We start from the raw sequence: 22,730 nt of genomic DNA, 5'->3' as shown, positions 1-22,730 counted from the left end.
GCAGAGGACACTCCACGCCTGCCTTTCTCTGCAATGGCCTTCCTGGCACCAACTCATAGCCGGGTGGATCTCCTGGGGCAAGAGCAGCTACTTTAAGGCAATTAGGACGCTGTGGGGACTGAGCTCCATGGGACGGGGACGAGGACCCACTCTCTAGCCATGCTTTCTTACTGATTTTCTCCCTGAATCAGAAGAATCTTCCCAATTCATGCTCCTGACCTCCCCTCCCATGCCAGGCCCTCCACAAGCCTGCCCTTCCCTCTTCCTCTGGGAAAATGAAAAGATAAAGCTGAGAAGCCCTTCCCGGGCCCCTCAACTCTTGAGTTTCCATGATTCTGGAATGGACTGCCCACGGGGGTGGAAATCACACTTGCCTTCTTCAATCCTCTAGTCCCGTCACAGCGCAGGGCACAAATGGAGCATTCAGAAAATAGCTAGTGAATGAAGTAATGAATTCTAACATTCTATAATTCTAAGTGTTTATGCCTGTGATTCTAAGAGTCTATGCCTGTGATTCAAGAATTCTAAATTGTTATTACTGTTCACCAAGGATACCAGCTCCGAATGCCGACAGGGACAGGGGCCAGGCGGGGAACTTGTATGAGTGAAACCGGACAGGCAAAGCGCAAATGCACAGTCCCTCAGTGGGTGTGGCAGGGCTCCCATTGGCCGGCACCCTTGATCGGCACCGCCGGACCTGCCTCTAGCTCCGCCCACGTCCCCGCCCGCCCTCGCGCACCTTCCCACAGCTCCAGGCATCTCACTCCAGACTTTGCTACCCTTCTGGAGTTGGGCTCTGACCCTTTATTGTGGCTTGTTTTAGGCAGAACTTCTTGTTGCAAGTGGCAGAAAACAAGTAACTTTAAGGAAAGCTAGACTGATTTATTGGCCCACATAATTGGAAAATACGTGGAGGGGAGTGGACTGGCTTCTGGGACAGCTGAAGTCAAGGGCTCAAACCGCTTCCCTGGGGCTATGTCTCCTTCCTCTCTTCTCTTAGCTTTGCTTCCTCCTTAGGAAGGCTTTCTCCTCACTGTGGAAAAGATGCATCAGAAAAGGCCTTACAGGTTGGAGTTCTAGAGGAGGGACCGTTTCTCTCCAAGTGCCCACATGTCAAATCTCAGTGGTGGCCGCGGCAGAGCTAGGGAGTGAAACGCTCACATCTCTTCCACATGGTGTGGAGAAAACGAGGGTCTCCCTGCATGCCTGGAGCACCCCCACCCAAGCTCACACAAGGTGAGAGTGAGTCCAGGGGATTGGTGCCCCGGCTACTCTGTCCAAGCACCGTGGGCAAAGACAGATATACAACCAGATTAAGGAGGTGGAGACAGGCATTGATAGGAGGGGGAAAAACGCGACTGTGCCTCATCAGCCCCTGGGCTGTCTGCGTGGTGACAGGAAGAGAAAGGATTACTGGTAAGACTGGAGGCAGGACTCGACCCCCGCCACTCTCCCCTATCCCCTGCAAGAAGTGATAACCCAAGAGCTTTCAGGCGCTCAGCCTCTGCTAGGCTGCCTGAGGGGTGCAGACAGAATGAATAAACAATAGGAAAGTGGGTGCCTTATAATAACCCAAGGTTGGGCATGAGGCATTTATCACTGCCAACCAATCAGATAGCTGTCTGTAATTGCAGCAGGCAAATCACAAGAGGAACCAATCAGAAGCAGGCCCCAGTCAGATGGACCAATCAGGTGAATTCATTTGTTCAACCAATCACACAGTGAGCACTGATAGGCACTCCTATTAGGAGATAGTTAGCTAGAATTGGGGCGTCTCTAGCTTCTCAATGACCCTGAGCCTCCGCAGGCCTCCCCATCTCCCTCACCTTGGAAAACAGCATTTCTGACAAGCTCAGGACAAAATGTGCTCCTATGGGCACCCCCACCTCAAGGCACACAGGTGGGGTCCTGCCTGACGTTTTAGTGGCACTTTGATAGATACTTCAGTCATCAAGTTCATCAGAGTTGTCAAAATGTTAAGATCTTCCTGAAAGAAGTGATGAATGGAATCGAGTGGATTAAATATTTCTCCTGTTCCTCAGTATATCACGTAGAGTCATTCCTACCCTCTCCATGGGATCATCAGTGGGTCACACACAGGTTGAGGAAAGCATCAGGCACTCCTAGGGACCCTGCCCCAAGTGTCAGTGTCATTCAAGGGCTCTGAGGGCTTAAAAAACAGTTTTACTGCAGTAAAATTTATGGACACAAATCTGCACATATTTAAAGTTTGATAATTTTGACATATGTCTACACCCAAGAAACCATCACCATAATCAAGATAATGATCGTATTCATCTCCTCCCATTTCCTGTTTTCTTTGTACCCCTTTGTCAGCCTCCTACCCTTCCCTCAACTAAACTGTTTTCTGTCACTGCATGTCAATGTGCATTTTTTAGAATTATAAGTGGAATTATAGAGTCACTCAGCATAATAATTTTAAAGTTTATTCATGTTGATATGTTTATCAATAGTTTGTTCCTTTTTATTCCTGAGTAATATTCCATAGTATAGATATGCCCCAATTAATTTATCCATCCACACATTAGTGGACATGTGGGACTATTACAAATAAAAATGTAATGAACGAAATGTAATGAAACATGTAATATACAAGGCTTTGCTTAAGCATGTGCTTTCTTTTATCTCAGGTATATACAGAGGAGGGGAAAGGCCCTGTCATATGGTAGGTGTATGTTCGACTTTTAAAGAAACTGTCCAAGCATTTTTTAAAATAATTGTACAGCTTTACATTCCACCAGCAGCCTACAGCAGTGCCTATTCCTCAAAATCTTTGCCAAAATGTGGCATTATCAGCCTTTTTAGTTTTAACCATTTTAGTGGGTTTGTGACTTTAATTTCTATTTGCCTAAGACTCCTGATATTGAGAAACTGTTACGTGCTAATTTGCTATTCATACAAGAGGACTTCAAAAAGTTCATGGAAGATTTTAATTAAAAGATAAAAATAAAAACATAAACTCTATCTCTCAACATAAGCTCCATCAAAGTCAAGACAGTTTTGAAGTGATAATATCAACCATCTAGTCCATCCTTTAAGAGTCCTGGGAATTTAATCATGTCAATGCGGTCTTTTTTACATTACTAACTGAAGACAAAATTAATGCCCTGATTTTTTTAACATGAAGAAACAAAAAGAAGTAAAAAGGAGCCAAATCAGCACTCTTGCAAAATTACCTGTTTGATGAAAGGAATGAGTGGGAGCATTGTCATAGTGAGGAAGGACTCTCTGATAAAGCTTTCCTGGCTGTTTTTCTGCTAAGGCTTTGGCTAACTTTCTCAAACGCTCTCATAATAAGCAGATGTTATCGTTCTTTGGCCCTCCAGAAAGTTAACAAGCAAAATGCCTGAGTATTCCCTCCCGGTCAAATGCTGACCTTCTCTTAACCAGTCCACTTTTGCTTTGACGATACCACCTCCACCCCTTGGTAGCCATTGCCTTGATTTTGCCCTTGTTTTTAGGATCATACTGGTGAAGACATGTTTTATCACTTGTTATAATTTTTTGAGGAAATGATTCAGAATCTTGATCCCACTTATTTAAAATATGCATTGAAAACACTGCTGTTGTCTGCAGCTGATCTGGCTGTAACAGTTTTGGCATCCATTGAGTGGAAAGTGTGCTCAACTTTAATTTTTCAGTCAGAGTTATGTACATCGAACACAATTGAGATGTCTATAATGTTGGCTGTCGTTATTAATAATCAGTCCTATTCAATTAGGGCATGAAGAAGATTATTTATTTCCTTGCAAAGGTACATGGATGGTCTGCCACCTTAGGTTCATCTTCAACGTAGTTTTGTTCTTCTTAAAACAAGCTATCCATTTGTAAACTCCAATTTCTTTGGGGCATTGTCTCCACAAACTTTTCATAAAGCATCAACAATTTCACCATTCTTCCACCAAAACTTCACTATAAATGTAATGCTTGTTCTTGCTTTAATTCTGATAGGGGCTCTTTCAAACTGATTTTGTGCCTTACACTAGATCTTGTGCAGGCATGTTATAACAAGTTAAAACAAGTTTTTTTTTGGTGCGAAAAGAAATAGAAATCCATGCATAGTTCTTTCCATGAACTTTTTGAAGACCTCTTACATATCTTCTTTAATAAAGAGTCTGTTCAGATCTCTTGCTCATTTTTTGAGATGTTTACCTCTATATTGTCAAGTTTTAAGAGTTTGTTATATATTCTGGATAAAAATTCTTCACTGGATATATGTTTTGCATGTATTTTGCCAAACAAAATATGTTTTGCACAGTCTATGGGCCACCTTTCCATTTTTGTAAATGTCTTTATAACACAAAGTTTTTAATTTTGATGAAATCCAATTTATTGATTTTTTTCTTTTGTAGTTTTTGCCCTATTTAAGATCTTCAAATTTTTTTAATCTTTATTCATTAATTCCCACACTCTTGTATAAGATATTTACTTAGCATCTATTATGTGTTAGAAACAGGGAATACAACAGGATGCTCTCTGTTCTCACAGAGCTTATAGTCCATGGAAGTGGCAGACAGAAATAGGTATAAGTATCTATTCCACCTTTGAGCCCCCTTAGCTCTCAGCCCTCCGTGGCTCCCCTTCACACTCAGAGGAAAAACCAGAGTCCCAGGCATAGCTCACAAGTCCCTCCCCCACACCCAGATCTACTCCCTTCCCCCTAGAGGCCTCCCTGTGACCTTGTTCCCTTCTCCTCTCATCTGCTCACTGTGCTCCAGCCACACTGACCTCCTGTCAATCTTCAAACTAGGCCTATTCTGACCTCAGGCCTTTGCACTTGCAGTTCCCTCTGCCAGGAACGTGCTTCCCTCAGCTGTAACCAGGGCTGTTCCTTCACTTCATTTAGGTCTCAGATATCCCTGAAGTATCACCTATCCCAGCTCATCACTTTCTTGCACTCTTGATGCTGTTTTATTTTTCTTTATAGCCGTTATTACCCCTGACATTGTTTACATATATATTTGTTTATTATTTGTACCATCTTCACACCATATACTAGATTGTGAGCTCCACAAGGGCAGGGGTTTGGCTATTCTCCTTCCTGCTCTATCTGAAGGCCATTGGACAACATTTGGCACATCATAGATCCACAGTAGTAGCAAATGAAGAGATTGGAGCCAGGCACTTCTGAGTTAAACCCCAGCTGCTTTTTACCCTCATGGTGCGACCTTGGATTAGATCCTTGACCTCTTTGAGCGCAATGTGTCTCATCTGTGAAACAGACCTACTAATCATGTCAAACTCACAAAGGGGTTGTGAAGTGGTCAAGAACTGAGGCAGGCAAAGTGCCAAGAGTGGGTCCTGGCACATAGAATATACTTTAGAAATGACAGATATAATTACTGCTGCTACTACTATTATTATAATGGTAGTAGGGAAGGGGCTTGGTGCAATTATTTTATTTGATTATGCAGAGAAAATGTCGGTGTTACAAGACCAACAGTTTTTTTTGCTCACTGCACAGTAACAGACCAATACACTGAGAGAGCATGGTTTTCAGCAGAGAAAGAGTTTCATGATCACTGGGCCATGAAGGGAGATGAGAGGAACCCTAAAATCCATGTCCTCAAGGTGTTCTGGGCTGAGGTTTTTAAGGGGACCATAGAGGGCGAGGGGCTAGAAAATTGGGGTCATTGATTGGAGGAGGTAAGAGGGATGAATTCATCAGGATGCAAAAACTGCATTCTTTGGTCAGTCAGGGTTCTGTACAGGAGACACGCAAGGGGAGAAGAAAAGCCACACACATAATATCTTTAAGGGTAAACACACTTTATGCCACGTAAATGGCAATGAAAATCTAATAAGCAAAGGATATAATAAGAAAATTAATATAAATAAGCAAATCGATATAATAAGCGCATGATATAATAACAAATTGTAATGGGAAGGGGAGAAGGGAAAAGATATATATATATATATGTATATTTACACTCACCAGACTATGGAGGATTCACCACCAGACTGGGAAGCAACAGCCTGGGTTCCAAAGTCAAACACCGCATTCACCAGACTATGGAGGATTTACCACCAGACTGTGAAGCAACAGCCCAGGCTCCAGGGTCAGATACCGAACTCACCAGTGTATGGAGGATTCACCACCAGATTGGGAAGCAACAGCCTTGGCTCCAGAGTTGGCCACTCATCTGTGCACACACGAGGAGAGGTCTCATGAAGCTTCAGGGCAGTCTGGGACCCTAGCTCTTTCTGTAATGACTTGTTTGGCATGAGGCCCAGTCACAAGGGTCCTTCCCGACCGGGCTCAAGGAACACAAAAAGGTCAACTTGTTTTTGTGACTGTCTATTGTTTTTTAATAACTAACGTATAGGAATAGATTGAAATAGAGATTTCTCTGAAACAGCGCTGGATGAACGCCTCAAGGAGCTCACACAACCTGTTCCGGCACTTGGTGACCATTGCTTGTGTCCATGTTCAGTTGAGTTCAAATTTAATATTTAACTTTTTCTCCACAGTCAGCTCCTTGTGGGGTTCTTTAGACCAGCTGATGTCAGTAGTTTCATCAGCAAGCAGGTCCTGAAAGAATATCTCAAATGGTAAACTTAACGTTTCAAAATGCTCAAGTTGTTATGTACAGAGCAGTTAAGGGGAACTATAATCTAGGTTCTATGGGATTCTGGGCAATAGGCAGCAAACAACTAGGAGGAAGTAGGTCAGAGAGGACATTGACCTAATGATTAATGCTGAATGTGCTGCAAGCTTGGTTTATTTTTATCTCTCCTCTTCCCCTTTTTCCTGATTAATTTCATAAAGTTTACAGGGACAGTTCCACGGGGGCTGGGTTCTGAGATGTAAGGGCTCACCAGTCTAATGAGGAGAGAAGGGCAGGTGCAAAAGCAGGGGTGGGTGCTTGCCTGCTGTGTACCTGGCTGATGTTTGTGCCTCGGCATGAACTGTGACTCAAGGAGCACCATGGGTCTTGGTAAGGATTTCCAGCTGAGAGGGCCCCTTTGTGCTGCTGAGGAGCACTCTTGGGCCAAACAGAGGGCAGGCTGGAAGAGACAAGCTTGAGGATAGAGAGGCTGGTCGGTTCATGGAGCTTTTGGTGCCAGGAGGGCTCAGCTGGAGGACCAGGAAGGGGCCCGGTGATCAAGTTAGGCCACGATCAGCTCAGGAGACGCAGCCAAGTTTGTGGCTGTGATGCTGAAATGTCCTGGCTACTGAGTGTGGCTCTTTCAACCTCTAGCTAACGTCAGACTCCTCCCACCTAGGCAGGGCTCTGCTTGCAGACGGGGCTCAGTGGATGAGAGGTTGGAGAGCTGAGATGGTGGAGAGTCAGCCAGGGCATTCATTGCCTTCACACCCCACAGAGGTGTCAGGAAGGAGCGTTCTGTCCACAAATTATGGCAGCAAAACCTGATAAGACTAGAGAACTTTCCTCCCCGCAAGAAAACAAACAGAAACGTTTGTTTCCATGACACACTTTTGTTTTCAGGAGGCAATGTGATTGTTTTCCCACTTTTGCACTGGAAAGCAATGAATGGAAGACTCCACCTGCTGTGACAGTCATATCCTTCCCCAGGCACTAAACAATAGAATAGACTTCCAGGCCTAGCTCACTGGTGCCTGAAATCCCTCCGCTGGAGCTTTGGCTTGCGGCTTTGTCCTTCATAAAAATGCAAATACCTCACAACAACCATGTATTCAACAAAAATAACTTATGTTCATTCATTCCACAAATATTTACTGAGTCTCTTCGGTAAACCAGATAGTAGCTAGAGGCTGGCAGTAAAGAGATTAAGACTTGGCCCATAGTTTCAAGGAACTCACCAGCTGCATGTGTGTGTGTTTCTGTGTGCTTATTTGGGGGCTGGAGAGGGCAGACATGACCTAGAAACATAACTGTAACTGTTGCAAGTGACATGATGGTGGTGGGTACAAGAAGTCTTGGGAACCCCCAACAAGGACCCAATTATGTGTGACTTGACATCATACCACGGATCTAATATGTCAGGGAAGAGAGAAATACCAAATGGAGGGTACAGCAAGGGCAAATGAATGGAGTCATGAGCCAGCACTGGGGAGGGTAACTCCACACCACTAAGCAGCAGGCCTTGCCATAAGGCAGGACATGGAGACAGGGCTGGAACAGTGGGGGTGGGGGAGGTTCTGATTGACTGGATCATATTCATGATCTCAGGCGATGGCGTCTGTCTTAGGGCTTTGCTGTCTCTCCAGCCTCCATTTCACCGCTTTCCACTAAGTCCTCCAGACCAACCCTGTGCTTTCCCTCTGTGGCCTGAACGACCCACCCTCAGCTCCAGGGCTGGATTCTGATTGGCCTAAGCCGTCATTCTATCTTATCCTGCTGTACAGTGATTGGTTAAGGGAATGGCACATGACCCAGTTCAGATCAATGTAAAAGGAGGAGATGTTCGCTGGGGTTTCTGGGAAAAAGGAGCCACCCCTGTCTTCAGAAGGAGCTCCCAGAATAGACTCTCTGTTATGGTCATTGCAGAGTGAGGGTGTGACGGACCAGCAAGGACGGCAGCACATGGAGAGAGGAGAGAATGCCAAAGAGTTGGATCCCAGGCCTGAACCCAGGGTCAAAGCTCTGTAGTTCTTGGTCAGCTGCGCCACTGACTTCCCACGTTTGTTTAAGCTGGTTTTGTTTGGTTGGTTTTTGTTTTGTTTTGTATTCTGTTACTTTCAACTCAAAAATTCCTGATTGGTCCAGGGCGTTTCTTGAGGACAAAACTTGATAACATTGGACAAAGAGAACAGCTACCGGGTGCCTAGAACCTGGTGGGGGATGGCTATTGGTCAAGTCTGTTTTATCCTGATCTCATCTCCATTCACAATTGTCATTGTGAGAGGTGAAGCCAGCTGGACTTCCTGGGTTAAGTGGGGACTTGGAGAACTTTTCTGTCTTTCCAGAGGATTGTAAAACACACCAATGAGGGTTCTGTAGCTAGCAAGGGGATTGTAAAATGCACCAATCAGTGCTCTGTAAAAATGCACGAATCAGTGTTCCATAGCTAGCAAGAGGATTGTAAAACACACCAAAGAGGGTTCTGTAGCTAGCAAGGGGATTGTAAAATGCACCAATCAGTGCTCTGTAAAAATGCACGAATCAGTGTTCCATAGCTAGCAAGAGGATTGTAAAACACACCAATCAGCGCTCTATAAAACGCACCAATCAAAGCTCTGTAAATTGCACCCATCAGCAGGATCCTAAAAGTAGCTAATTGCAGGGAGGATTGAAAAAAGGGCACTCTGATAGGACAGAAACGGAACATGGGAGGAGACAAATAAGGAAATAACAGCTGGCCACCCTAACCAGCAGGGCAACCCACTGGGGTCCCCTTCCACGCTGTGGAAGCTTTGTTCTTTCGCTCTTCACAATAAACCTTGCTACTGCTCACTCTTTAGGTCCGTGCCATCTTTAAGAGCTGTAACACTCATCGCAAAGGTCGGCGGCTCCATTCTTGAAGTCTGCTAGACCGCAAACCCACCGGAAGGAACCAACTCCAGACACAATTGTAAGTCGGGATCTTTCCACAGAAAACATTGCCTGGCCCTTAATGCTAGCCTGGCACCTGCATAGCAAGTCCTGGTGGGGCAGCCCAGGTTTCAGGAGCCCTGGGCTCTGTCCCAACCCCACCCACTGCCTGGCTATGGAGCCTGTGCTGAGTTACACTCACTCTCTGGGTCTAGACTGTGATTCATCCATCAGCCCCTAAACTGTGATCTCCCAAAGGGAAAGGGTGATGTCTAACCCATCCCTATGGCCCTTGAGCCCAGGACAGGCCTGGCACAGAGCATGTGTCAGTGGGGCTGTTAACTGATCACTGTGGGATCTGCACATTCCTGCTCTAACCGCTCAGGACGAGGGCCATGCGTGATGCTGACAGGGACAGCTATAGTTCCATTTGTCCACCCTGAGAGCCACCTGGAGCCCCTGACCCAATGCTACAGCAGGAGGAAGTCTCACAGGACTAGATTTTGTATGCAGGCTGCATGGCAGAGGCTTTAGCTTGCACACAATCTCTATCTTTGTTGAAGACTCACTGAACCACAGTGAGGCTATAGAGTGAGGGAAATCCCCAAAAAGCTCTACCATTTACTCTCTAGCTGCAGCTGACCTGGGCAGTCAAGGTCAGGAATTCGCTCCTCAGTCTCATGCAGACAATGATGAGGCACCATGCAGGGAGGCTCAGTCATTAATACATTTACTAGCATCTTCCAGCCTGGGACTTCAAGTTGCTAGTATGGAAAATGGGCAATGAACAGAGGATTACACGGAAACATATACATATGTATTGTAATAAGGGCCACAACAGGAGACATGATGAGAAGTCAATTGTAAATGATTAAAAGATGTACAACAGAGAGGGTGAGGAGGTAGGGGGAAGAGTTAGTTGATGTTTATCTTTGCATATATCTTAACCCTCATAATAACCCAACGTGTCAATTAAAAGGCAGAGATTATCAGATTGGATAAGAAAAAAGACCCAACTGTATACCATCTGCACGAGAAACACACTTTAAATATAAAGCCACATATAGGTTAAAAATAAAAGGTTAAGAAAACATATACCACACAAGCATTAATCAAAAGAAAGTCAGAGTGACTGTATTAGTCCATTTTCACACTGCTATAAAGAAATATCCTAGACTGGGTAATTTATAAAGGAAGAGGTTTAATTGACTTACAGTTCCACATAGCTGAGGAGACCTCAGGAAACTTAAAATCATGGCAGAAGGCAAAGGAGAAGCAGGCACCTTCTTCACAAGGTGGCAAGGGAGAAATAATGAGAGCTCAGGAAGAAACTGCCAGTTTTAAAACCCTCAGATCTCACGAGAATTCACTCACTATCACGAGAACAGCACGGGGGAAACCACCCCCATGATCCAATCACTTCCCCCCCTCAACACCTGGGGATTACAAGTCCCTCCCTTGACATGTAGGGATTATAATTCGAGATGAGATTTGGGTGGGGACACAGCCTAACCATATCAATGATTATATTAATATCGGACAAAATATATTTTGGGGAAAATAATATTACCAGGGATAAAGAAGGCAATTTCTTAATGATGAAGAAGTCAACTCATTAGGAGGACATACAATCCCAAATGTGTATGCACCTCATAACAGAATTCTAAAATACATGAAAAAAAAAATACTGATCGAGCAACAAGAAGAAGCAGATAAACTCACAAAGAATTCAGAACAACCAAAATTAGTAAGGATTAGGAAGTTTTAAACAACACAATCAATCAACTTGACCAAATTGACAATTATAAAATGCTACAAACAATAACAGAATACACATTCTTTTCAAATGCACATTGATCTCCTACCAGGATAGATCACATTCTAGGCCATAAAGATGTCCCAATTAATATATAAGGATCCAAGCAATACAAGTATGTTCTTTGACCATAATGGAATTGAATTAGAAATTAATAATGGAAAGATCTCTCTGGAAAATCACCAACTATTTGAAAACTAAATAACGCATTTTTAAATAACCCATAGGTCAAAAATAAAATAAAAATGGGAAATGGAAAGTGTTTTGAACTGAATGAAAATTAAAAACAACATATCAAAAATTGTGAGATGCCACTAAATCAGTACTTAGAGCCTTTATTTTAGTATTAATGACTTATAATAGAAAAGAAAAATCTCAAATCAATGATGTCAGATTCAACCTTATGAAACTTGTGAAGAAAGAGCAAATGAAATGCAGAATAAAGGAAGGGAGGGACCATTAAAGATCAGAGTGAAATCAATGCTATAAAAAAGGAAAAATAATAAAGACAACCAATAAAACCAGAAGCCGGTTCTTTGAGGAGATAATAAAATTGATAAACCTCTAGCCAGACCATCAAGAAAAAAAAGAGAAAAGACACAAAGAACAAATATCAGAAATGAGAGGAGTGACATTAGCACAAATTCTACGGATATTAAAATGATAATATGAGAATATTATGTACAACATTATGCCAATATGGTTGACAAGTTAGAAGAAATGGACTAATTCATTGAAAAATATAAACTACTGAAGCTCACTCAGGAATAAATATATAACTTGAATAGTTGTAAATCTGCTAAAAACCCAAGTAAATTTGGCAAATCTAAATCTAAAGTAATCTTTAGTAAATCTACTAAAACGACTTTTTTTTTTTTTTTTTTTTTTTTTTTTTTTTTGAGATGGAGTCTCACTCTGTTGCCAGGCTGGAGTGCAGTGGCGTGATCTTGGCTCACTGCAACCTCCACCTCCTGGGTTCAAGCGATTCTCTTGCCTCAGCCCCTCTAGTAGCTGGGATTACAGGCACACACCGTCACTCCCAGCTAATTGTTGTATTCTTAGTAGAGACGGGGTTTCACCATGTTGGCCAGGAATAAAAGGAATTTAAGGAATAAATAATACCAATTCTACTAAAAAATCTTCCCCAGAATAAAGATGAGTAAATACTTTCCAACTCTTTGTTTGTGGCCAGTATTTCTCTTATACCAAAACTTGACAAAGCCATAACAAGAAAAGAAAATTATAACAAATATTCATCATGAAAATAAATGACAATATTCTAAACAAAATTATAACAAATCAAATACAGCAATATATGAAGTGTGTAATACATCATAATTAAATGAAACTTGTGCCAGGAATAAAAGGTTGGTTTAACATTTGAAGATCAATGTGATTTATCATATTAACAAACTCAAAAAGAAAAAAACCCTACAGTATATCTACAGGAAAAGAATTTGACAAAATCCAACATTCATTCTTAATGAAAACTATCTGTAAGCTAGAAATAGAAGTGAATTTTCTCAACCTAATAAAGGTTATTTACAAAAACTATAGCTTACATTATATTTATTTATGGTGAAAGAGTAACTGCTTTGCCCTAAAATCAGGAAAAAGACAAGATGTCTGTTCTTATCACTTTTATTCATCATTGTACTAGAAGTTCTGACCAGTCCTATCAGACAAGGAATAAAACTAAAGTCATTCAGTATAGAAAGAAAGAAATAATACTCTTTATTCACATACAACATGAACACCTAGGTGGAAAATCTGATGGAATGTATAATACAAACAAAGCTACTAGAATTACAGAAAGAGATTAGTAAGCTGCAGGATATAAAACAATATACAAATATCAGGTGTATTTCTATATGTTAGCAATAAATGATCAGAAATAACAATTAAAAAACAATACCATTTACAATAACATAAAATATCACAGAAATTCTACACACTGGAAATTACAGAACACTGTCAGTTTCCCCCTAATTGTTCTATAGATTCACTTCAATCTCAATCAGAAACCCAGCAGTCTGCTTTGCAGAAATTGAGAAAAACTGTTCTAATATCTATATGTAAATGTAAGACCTAGAATAGCTAAGACAATTTTAAACACAAGAACAAAGTTGAAAGACTAACAGTACTTAATTTCAAGATTTATTCTAAAACTGCATTATCAAGACAATGTGCTATTGGCATCAAGAATGACAAATAGACCAGTGAAATAGAATAGAGTCCAGAAAGAGACCCACACATATACAGACACCTGATTTTTTACAATGAAGTAAAAATAATTCTGTTCAAAAGAGATAGGGCTTTTTTTCAACAACTGGCTCTGGGACCATTGGATATCCATATTCCAACAAACAAAGATGGACTTTGTTCCACACTAAATGTAAAACCTAAAACCATAAAGCATCTGAGGAAAGCACAGTAGAAAAACTTTTATGAGATTGGTTTAAGCAAAGATTTCTTAGATATAACATCAAAAACACAATTCATAAAGGAACAAACTGATAAAACAGATCATCAAAATAAAAATGTCTGCTCTTTGAAAGATACTTTTAAAGAGAATGGAAAGATAAGCCACAGACTGAAAGAAAACGTTTGTAAATCACATGTCTGCTAAAAGACATGTATTCATATATATAAATCAAAACCTGATATAAGAAAACAGACAATTTAAAGGCAAAAGCTTTCAACAAATATCATCAAAGTGATATATGGATGGCAAATAAGCCCATGAAAATATGCTCAACAACTATAGTCATTAGGAAAATGCATATTAAAACTGCAGTGAGCTGCTAAAATTCACCTATTTTAATGGTTAAAATTTAAAAGACTGATCACACTAAGTGTTGGTGAGAATATGGAAAAATTAGAATTCTTCTACACTTCTGGTGGGAATATAAGGTGATACAGCTCTTTTGTGGTTAAACATACACGTACTATGTGATCCAGCTATTTCACTCCTACGTATTTACTCGAGGGAAATTAAAGCATATGTTCACACGAACACTCACACACAAATGTTCATAGCAGCTTCATTTACAATAATAAAAACGACAAACAAAAAAACTTGGAAAACCACAAACATCCATCAACTCCACAGGTAAATGGGCAAACAAATTGTGATATATTCATACAATGAATTACTATTCAGCAATAAAAAATAATCAAGGATTGATATGTTCAACAATATGGATACATTTCAAAAGTATTATGCTGAATGAATGAAGCCAGATAAAGAATGCCATACTATATGATTCCAATTCTAGAAAATGCAAACTAATCTCTTGTGACAGAAAGTAGATCAGTGGTTGACTTGGGATGATAGTGAGGGAGAGGGGAGTAGTTGAGAGGGGGTGATTAAAAAGGGATACATCTATAATTGTTGTGGATGATAGATATGCTCACTAACTTGTCTAAGGTGCTTATTTTATTATTAAGTTTTACACTTAAATATGCACAGTTGCTTGTATAACAATTATTCCTCAACAAAGTTGTTGAGGGGAAAAATATCTGGAGAGTTGCAAGGGTTTCCTTGACAACAACCATTTAATTGGTTGCCCTGGGAGCCTTCACTGATGCCTCTGGCAAGGCAGTAGCCAGAGCTCATCAGGGATAAGGGGCCTGTTCCCAGCACAGATGACAGAAGCCCTGAATGGCACTATTAGTTTGGGATAAAGCAAATAGGGAGGAAAGAGAGAAAAGGAGGTGAGATTTACACAAGGCAAAAAGAGGTACAGGTTTAAGAGTACAAGCTGAGCTTTGAGTTAAAAAAAAAAAACTGTCAGTATTGGATAGGCCTTCCATCACCCTATCCAATCACTTTCATCTTACAGATGAGAAAACTGAGGTTCAGAGAGGGGAAGGGACTTTCTCTAAACTACACAGCATATCAGAACAGAACTGGTATCAGCAGCTTGGTCTCCTCCCTATCACCACATCCGTTGAAGGGTAGAACTGCTTCCTAGCTGATGATGATAAACTTCCCCATGCTGAACACCTTTTAGTTGTCATGCCTGACACTAAACATTTCACATATAATCCTCCAGCAACTTGTCAAGAAAGATTCTATTGTTACTCACTTTTTACTGGTGAGGAAGTCCCAACCTCTATAGTGATACTAGTAAAGGCCTTAGGGAATCAATCCAATTCAATCCCTATCCTCACCCACTCCAGCTCCTATTTTATAACTGAGGAACCTGAGGACCCCAAAATACAAGTGGCTGCCTTGACTCACAATTTATGGCTTTATTGAGTCTCTGTGGTTTACTTGTACCTGGAGCTGAGTTTATGGAGTTTAGAGAGCTGGATTGCATCATGAAATGTTTAGTCTGTTTATTCACTTGGTGTGAGACAAAGGGTGTACACACATGTGTGTATGTGGTAATGCATACCTGCATATGGGTAGCCATGTCAATGTGCTTCTATGTGCATGTTCTGGTGTATGCATACATTTTGTTATTATATATCTACAACCTTTCTTCTAAATTTCTCAGCAACCACTTTGGGTCTTTTCTTCCAAAAGACTTTTTGTGTCTATGGTGACAGATGTGATTTTCTCCACTTCTCAGCAGACCAACTCAATGCCCTGTGTCCCAGGGTGGAGGGTGGATGGGGCTGCTTTTGCCCCTTTCTCATTTGGAGTAGCCAGTTAAGAATAAAACCATGGTCCTTGGGAAGAAGTGTTGGCTGATATTTCCCAGACATAGTTGTGAGTTTGGATGACTTGAAAATATAGCATCTGAGTGAGATGTGATTCCAGAGAGGTAAAGAGGTATTCTTATTCTCCAAAGCAGCAAGGCTAAAAACACCTAGATGCATAAGTGGCATCAACCCAAAATACAGACCTAGAGTCTCTTCTATACCACTTGTTTGCCTGACTGACATCTATTCAATCTGGTCTCAACTTAAAGCTCATTCTCCCTGGGAAGACTTCTCTGACACTCATGTTTTCTTCCCATGGTTTCACCATCCACTGTGCTTGTTCTATACCATAATATCTTACAATACTGAACAGAGAACGGTGGAGAGAAGTTGATGGCTAAGAGGCATGAAGGAACTTTCCATATCTTGATTGGAATAATATCTACACAAGTATAAATTTGTCAAAAGTACTTGACCTACACATTAGAAATGTGTCAATTTTTTGTTGCCTGTAAATTACAATATAATAAGATTGATTTAAAAAATGTACTCCCCAGCCCTCAGTAGTACTCGGTCCATCTAGTCTTCATTCATCTCTCAAAGGGTGGGAACCGAATACAGAACTTACCACAAGAACGCATCAGCAAGAATCCTGTTTCAGTACCATGGACAGAGGCCTCCCCCAGGGAAGAAGGGTTGGGAGATGTCTGCGTTGTTTAAGCCCAGGAAAGAACCTGGTGTCTTCTGGCTATGGGTGTCAAGACACGTGGGGAACCCAGGTCATGACAGGTTATGACAGGTCACCTGGTCCAGTTAATTTATTCTGCATAGCGTGTTGTCTAGACAGCCACATATTTACAAACATCCAGAGACTGTCATCATGGCCATGGTGGGGAAGGCACAAGGGACAGATCAGAAAAATCCGGGTCTGGTCCTTGACTCCTATCAACTACTCATGCCATGACCTTGGACAAGTCACTTCATCATCTGGGCCTCATTTTCTTCATCTTTAAATGAGAGCCCGCACCAGATGATCTCTAAGGGCCTTTCCAGGAACAATCTCTTTAATACAAAGATTTTACAACTTCCATATTACAGTGTGTGTGGGTTTTCCCCTCCATCTTAAATATAATCCTGGTACACTTTGCAAACTATAGCTCCTGGTTATTTGTTCTGTATAGCCCATCATCATTGAAGGAGACCTTCCCTGTCATGGTTGCCCACACTCCTTTGTTCTGAGCCATTCTGGTACCCAGTCTTGCTGGGCAAGGGAGGCCAGGGACAGTCATAGACAAAGGCTCAAAGTCAGTCAACTTTGAAAAGTGTGTGGGGCTTTGGTATCAGACAGAACCTAATTTGGGCCCAGGCTCCACTACTCACTCTCTGTGGAATTTTAGAAATGTCATTCATCTTCGAAGCATTGTTTGAGATTGAATGCTTACCTCATTGGGAAGTCATTCACAGTCAGGCTGAGTCATGTGAATTCCCCTCTCCTGTTGCTCTAACATTTGCACTCATTGTTTTGCATACAAGACAATGACTCACTCATAATGCTCAATTTAAATTTCTTCTTGATTGATCTACTAGATAAAATTTGCCTTGAGTTTCTTATTACAATACTCATTACAGCCACCATTAGAACATGGATTCTTAACTGTTCTCCCACTAATATAATTGCTGTTAGACTGACATGAATAATCTTTGCTCTCATTAACAGAATAAAAAGCTGTTAGCTGCATTCTTTCACTTGTAAGGCCTGGATATCTGTGCCTCTTCAGGTTTTATTCATTTGAGCCAACCCATCTGCCTCTCCCCCAAAACATGGCCCTTTCTTCTCCTGTCCCCACTATCAGTGATATGGATTCTTCCTCCCCTCTTTAAAAAACACATCGCTTTGTAGATTTGAAGCAACCATTCCTGCTTCTGTTGCTACCACTGCTAGAAATTTCTTGGGCCAGACATAATGCTAAGTAATTTCCCAGCATTATTCCTATGAGAGAGGTACCATTTTTTCTCCCTATTTTACAGATATGAAAATTGAAGTCTAGAAAGCTTGCGTGAGTTTTCCTCAATCATTTAACTCATGAATGATGGGGGTATTTGATTTCAGGTGTTTCTGACCCTAGGAAATATACTTTTGGCATTTTGTACTATGGAGAGGGTACTATTCTCTTTCTGCGCCTCCTGCTTTATATTCCTTTATTTTTCCTTCTCATTCCCCCAACTCCCACCAGTTCTCTGCCCACAGCTCAGAGCTTCCAACTCTCCCTTGGACAGGCAGCCTGAGATCTGTGATTCCAACTAAATTGCCATGACAGTGAAGGAAATTTTGCCTTGAAGATGCCTCCCTTCATTCTACAAGGAGCATTCCAGGGATTCCAATCACTAGAGCGCTGCCTGAAACCTCTCCCCTGATTCTAGAACTGCTTGTCTGAAAACTAATATCAGTTTCCCCCTTGGCTCTTTCCAGCGGTTCAGACATGACCCTGGCTGTGCTCCAAGCATCACCTTGCTGTACATGGTGAGCCATGATAATACTGTTCCAGGGTTTATTTCACACATCTCTGCCAAGGAGCTTCTGGACCTCATATGATCTTCACAGCATTTGGGGAAGTTGAATATTATGCTCACCTGAAAGACGGGAAACTGAGGCCCAGAGTAACTTTTTTTTTTTTTGCAGGTAGAAGAAACCTTAGAGATTACGAACCTTCTTCTTGTACAGATGAGGAAGGAGACCAAGAGAAGGGAAGCAACTTGGCAAGGTGGCCAGTGTTAGATCTCAGGTCTCTGCATTTCTAGTTCCCCATGGGGAACATTGCCTGTGAATAGGTCCGAGGTTTTGTTTGTTTGTCTTTGCAGCATGATTCCCACCCTGCTTGTTCTTTAGAGAAGCCATGGGTGGAACAGAAGCTGTCTGGATTCAGGCTTAGAGTCCCAGGACTGCCACTGACTCAGTGTATGTAGCCTCAGTTTTCTCATTTGATGAATGATTTTTGCTGGACCAGGTATTGAATTAGAGTTCCCAGCGTATGCCACATGTGCTTAGAGTATCTCATCTCCCCAAGGAGATCCAAGCCCTCTATGGTCTGCGCAACTCAGGTGATGTCAGCCAGGCAGCAGCCACTTTAATTCCTCTACGATGATTTGATTCCTTTTGCTGGAAACCCTAGTGCACATATATGGGCTCAATAAATTCATGTGTCTCAATGACTATTTCCACAGGCTGCTCTCATCAGCTCTGAACAGGCAGTTGTCTGAGCACTTCTGAATAAGCCCTGGAGTCCAGCTAGGAAAAATCTCTCTCTCTGGAGTGGCATTCTCTGGGAGGCCACGTTGACTTATGTCATATTATCATAGAAATTCCCTCTGTTCTTTAACCTTTATTTAACTAGAGTCAGGACCTCCTGCTGAGCCTGAAAAGTTTTTCTAACAGGAGGCTGTCCTGGCAGTATGCAGATGATTGCATTATGGATAGTAGAATGGGAAGGCAAAGAGAAGGGCCGCTGGGGTTGAATGGAGTGTACAGTTTATAGACATTTTGATGTGGAGGAGAAGGCTGGCTTTGAAAGGGCCAGGCACATTGGCATAAATCCATAATTGTTTTGCAGGACTTGTTCACCTGGGCTTAGGTACCCCAGAGACACAACTCGTTATTCACTCATTCGTTTATGCATTCACTTTCTCACTCACTCAAGAAACATTTATGCACTATCTATTTGCTGGATGATGGGGACACAGAGAAATAGGAACTCTCCCTTATTCTTGAGGAGACCAGTCTTGCTCAGGAGGGAAACTGTCATGACATGTGCTCAAATAGACATTGGAACCCTTAACTCCCTTGGGCAGGGGTAGATGAGAAAGACATCTATCTTAGAGTGAGTGCCCCAAAACAGACCTGACACAAGGACTTGGGTTTGCAGGTTTGGGGAGGGATTTTGTGACTCCAGGAAGCACAAGTAAAGGAGTGCAGGGAAAGGAGAAAAGCCAACAGAGGGTGTCTTCATAATTGGCTAGCTGTGTGGACAGCTGGGCTCCTCCCTCCCATGGGGGGCCCCTGAGGAACCCCCTGGAGCACACCTCAGGACTGTCCTCCTGGAGGCTGGGGAGGCTGGGGCCTTTGTCCACTGAATCTCATCCCCCACATTTCAGGAGTTGTCCCCGGGATGCATTTAGTGCCCTGCACTTGGATGTTGTGGTGCCAGAGCAAGCCCAAAGGCAAAGGAGAAGAGAGAAGGGAGCGTTTGAAGAAAATGGCCGTCAGTGTACAAGAAACATCCCACTGCTGCAGGACAACTGAGGATGGTCAAAGGGACATGGTGGGGTAGCACCGGCATCTGCTGCAGTGTTTCCTCCAACAGGTGACTTTTCAGTGGACCTAAGGATAAGTAAGAGTTTTCAGCTGAAGCAGGCGTGGGAGTGTCATATCCAGGCAGCTGGAGTCACCTGGGGATGGGAGGCAGGATATTGCCAATGACAGGAAGGAAAGAAATATCTTGAGGGCCAGGAGAGCTCTGGAGGATTTGTTTTAAGGCCGAGGAAGGGAGAGATTTGGGCAGCTTAGATGACAGAAGCCTCGGGCAACTGAGGTGGAGGAACAGAAGAAAAGGGTCAGAGAGGGAGAGAGGTAGGATGCTGGAGAGAGCTGACCCTGCAGAGGAGGAAGGGGAGAGGCTCCAGAGACTGGCTGGAGGGATGAATTTCCACCAGGACAGGCACCCCTGACCCTGGGATGGGGGAAGAAGCACAAGAGGGGAAAAGGAGTGTATTCCTCATGGCCTCGTTGCCCCAATATCAGAGGAGGCAGATGACTGGCAGCAAAGGAGAGCCCAGGAAGTTGGGGTGAGGCTTGAGAAGGGTAGCGGCCGGGAATCATCCTTGAGGGTGAGGGAGACCATAGGAAAGACACGGGAGGGATGGGTGATACGGTACTAGCTGAGGCTGTTCAGTTTACAGAAGAGCAGAAAATGACATTTCTGGGAAGGTTCCTCTTCCCACTCCAGAGAGAGGGCGAGGTGGGAGGAGAGTTTCAATGCATTTTATTTTTCATGACAAAGCTTTCTGAGCTCCTGAGCTTCTGCTAGCCCAGGCCACCCCTACCATTTGTAGATTCGTCAGGCACTGATTCATTTAGTAGTGTTTTCTGCAGCCCTACTGTGTGCTGAAAACTGCTCAACACACAGGGACCAGTCCTCAACACATATGGTTATCCCTATAGCTGCTTCAAGCTCAGGGGTTGCACGAGGAGAATGTCGGCTAATGGGACAGGACCCCGCTAGCTTCCCACCTTCTCTCCATCCATTAGATCATGGGAAGTGTGGGCCATAGTTAAGGGGCTCTTGTTGCAATTCTCCCTCTCACTTTCTCCTTGATTCTGGGCTAGTTAATTCCCCTCTCTGGGCCTCCACTGATTAGAATGATGGTAAATTTGTCCAACCAAACTCACAGGCTTCTCAAAGGATCCCATGAAATACTGGGTACTAATGGGTGGAAAAACTTTTTGGAAGCTGATTAGAGAAGCTCAGATGTTAGTGGTTTTAATCTGTAAAATGAGGGAGTCATAGATCCCAGATACCGCAGGCTGCTTCCAAGCCATCAGTTCACAAAGCACCCCAGGAGGGGTTGGTTGAATCAAAGCAGGGGTTCTTCAGTGCCTCGTTTTGGTCAAGTTCTCAGAAAATTTCTTATCTTTGCACAGCAATCAGATCATTCTCAAGATAGATCTGAAAGAGGAGGAGGCAAAAAGATGAGAGGAACTAGAGGAAGCTGAGGACTGAGATGGGAGGAGAGGCAGAAGAGACAGCACCACAGACAGGGAGGGCTGGGGAGGATGGAGAACAGCAAAAGACTCTGCAAGGGAGAGGCTGGAGCAGCAGGGTTTCTCTAACTGCCCAGGACTGGGCATGGACTGGGGTCTCAGGGAAGGGACTGCTATTTTCAGACAGAATGCATTAAGAGAATAAACAGCCCAGCAAAGTGCAATGTACACTTTGAAATTAGCAGAAAATGACATTTCTGGGCAGGCTCCCTTTTCTCACCCCAGGGAGAGAGTAGGAGGTGAGCTTAGACAAGTTTCCTTTCTCTTAAAACAAGTTCTCAGCTCCTGGGCTCCTGCTGACTCAGGCCACCCTCACTGTGAGAATTCAGCAGACTGGGATGATCAGGCAGTGTTTCATGCCAGCCCTGGGCATGGAGAGGCTGTTGATGGTGGGGCCTGGCCAGCCTAGAGCCTGGCTAGAGTCTGGATGGGGAAGGCAGCCTGGCTCAGGGTCGAGAGGCGGTTCAAGTAGCTAAGGTCATTCAGGCTTAGATTTGCTAGTGCTGCTGTGCACTTTACAGGAGCACTGGCTCAGCAACATACATGGGAGGCGTGAGCCCAGCACACAGCAAAGAGACAAGCTCAGGCAAATCTGCACCTTGAAGATCCATCCAGCCAAACCCAGCCCCTACAGCCACTGACCACAACCAAGCCATATGCTACATGAGTGAGAGTACATTGTCATTGTTTTAAACACCAGGTTTTGGGCTGGTTTGTTACACAGCAATAGCTGACTGATACAAATGCCTAGCAGATGTCAGACATTGTGTTTAGCACAGGGGCATGCAGGTGACAGCATCTACATATCTCCTGCCCTCTTGGAGCTCACAGCCTGGTTGGAGGAGACAGACAATGAACAAACCACCAATGAGTGAGTATGAAACCTGTGATGAGGGAAATATATTGGGTCATGCCCCAGGGAGTGATTGATGAGGAGGTCAAAGGTAGGTGGTCAGGAAGAGCCCCT

At 43.0% G+C, this 22,730-nt stretch overlaps 3 annotated features.

Annotated features, from left to right (window-relative positions):
- Positions 9,765-10,422: an enhancer, noted in NCBI's record as "NANOG-H3K27ac-H3K4me1 hESC enhancer chr1:30454325-30454982 (GRCh37/hg19 assembly coordinates)". NCBI's record gives its function as "activates a minimal SCP1, AML or CMV promoter by ChIP-STARR-seq in naive and primed H9 embryonic stem cells {active_cell/tissue: H9 hESC(naive and primed)}" and the evidence as "EXISTENCE:reporter gene assay evidence [ECO:0000049][PMID:30033119]".
- Positions 16,772-17,971: an enhancer, noted in NCBI's record as "P300/CBP strongly-dependent group 1 enhancer chr1:30446776-30447975 (GRCh37/hg19 assembly coordinates)". NCBI's record gives its function as "activates an origin of replication core promoter dependent on BRD2, BRD4, P300/CBP, MED14 and CDK7 cofactors, with strong dependence on P300/CBP, by STARR-seq in HCT116 cells {active_cell/tissue: HCT116}" and the evidence as "EXISTENCE:reporter gene assay evidence [ECO:0000049][PMID:35650434]".
- Positions 17,073-17,796: an enhancer, noted in NCBI's record as "OCT4-NANOG-H3K27ac hESC enhancer chr1:30446951-30447674 (GRCh37/hg19 assembly coordinates)". NCBI's record gives its function as "activates a minimal SCP1, AML or CMV promoter by ChIP-STARR-seq in naive and primed H9 embryonic stem cells {active_cell/tissue: H9 hESC(naive and primed)}" and the evidence as "EXISTENCE:reporter gene assay evidence [ECO:0000049][PMID:30033119]".

Source organism: Homo sapiens, chromosome 1, assembly GCF_000001405.40.
Source record: "Homo sapiens chromosome 1, GRCh38.p14 Primary Assembly".
Taxonomy (NCBI): Eukaryota; Metazoa; Chordata; class Mammalia; order Primates; family Hominidae; genus Homo; species Homo sapiens.
This window is presented reverse-complemented; position numbering and strand designations above follow the sequence as displayed.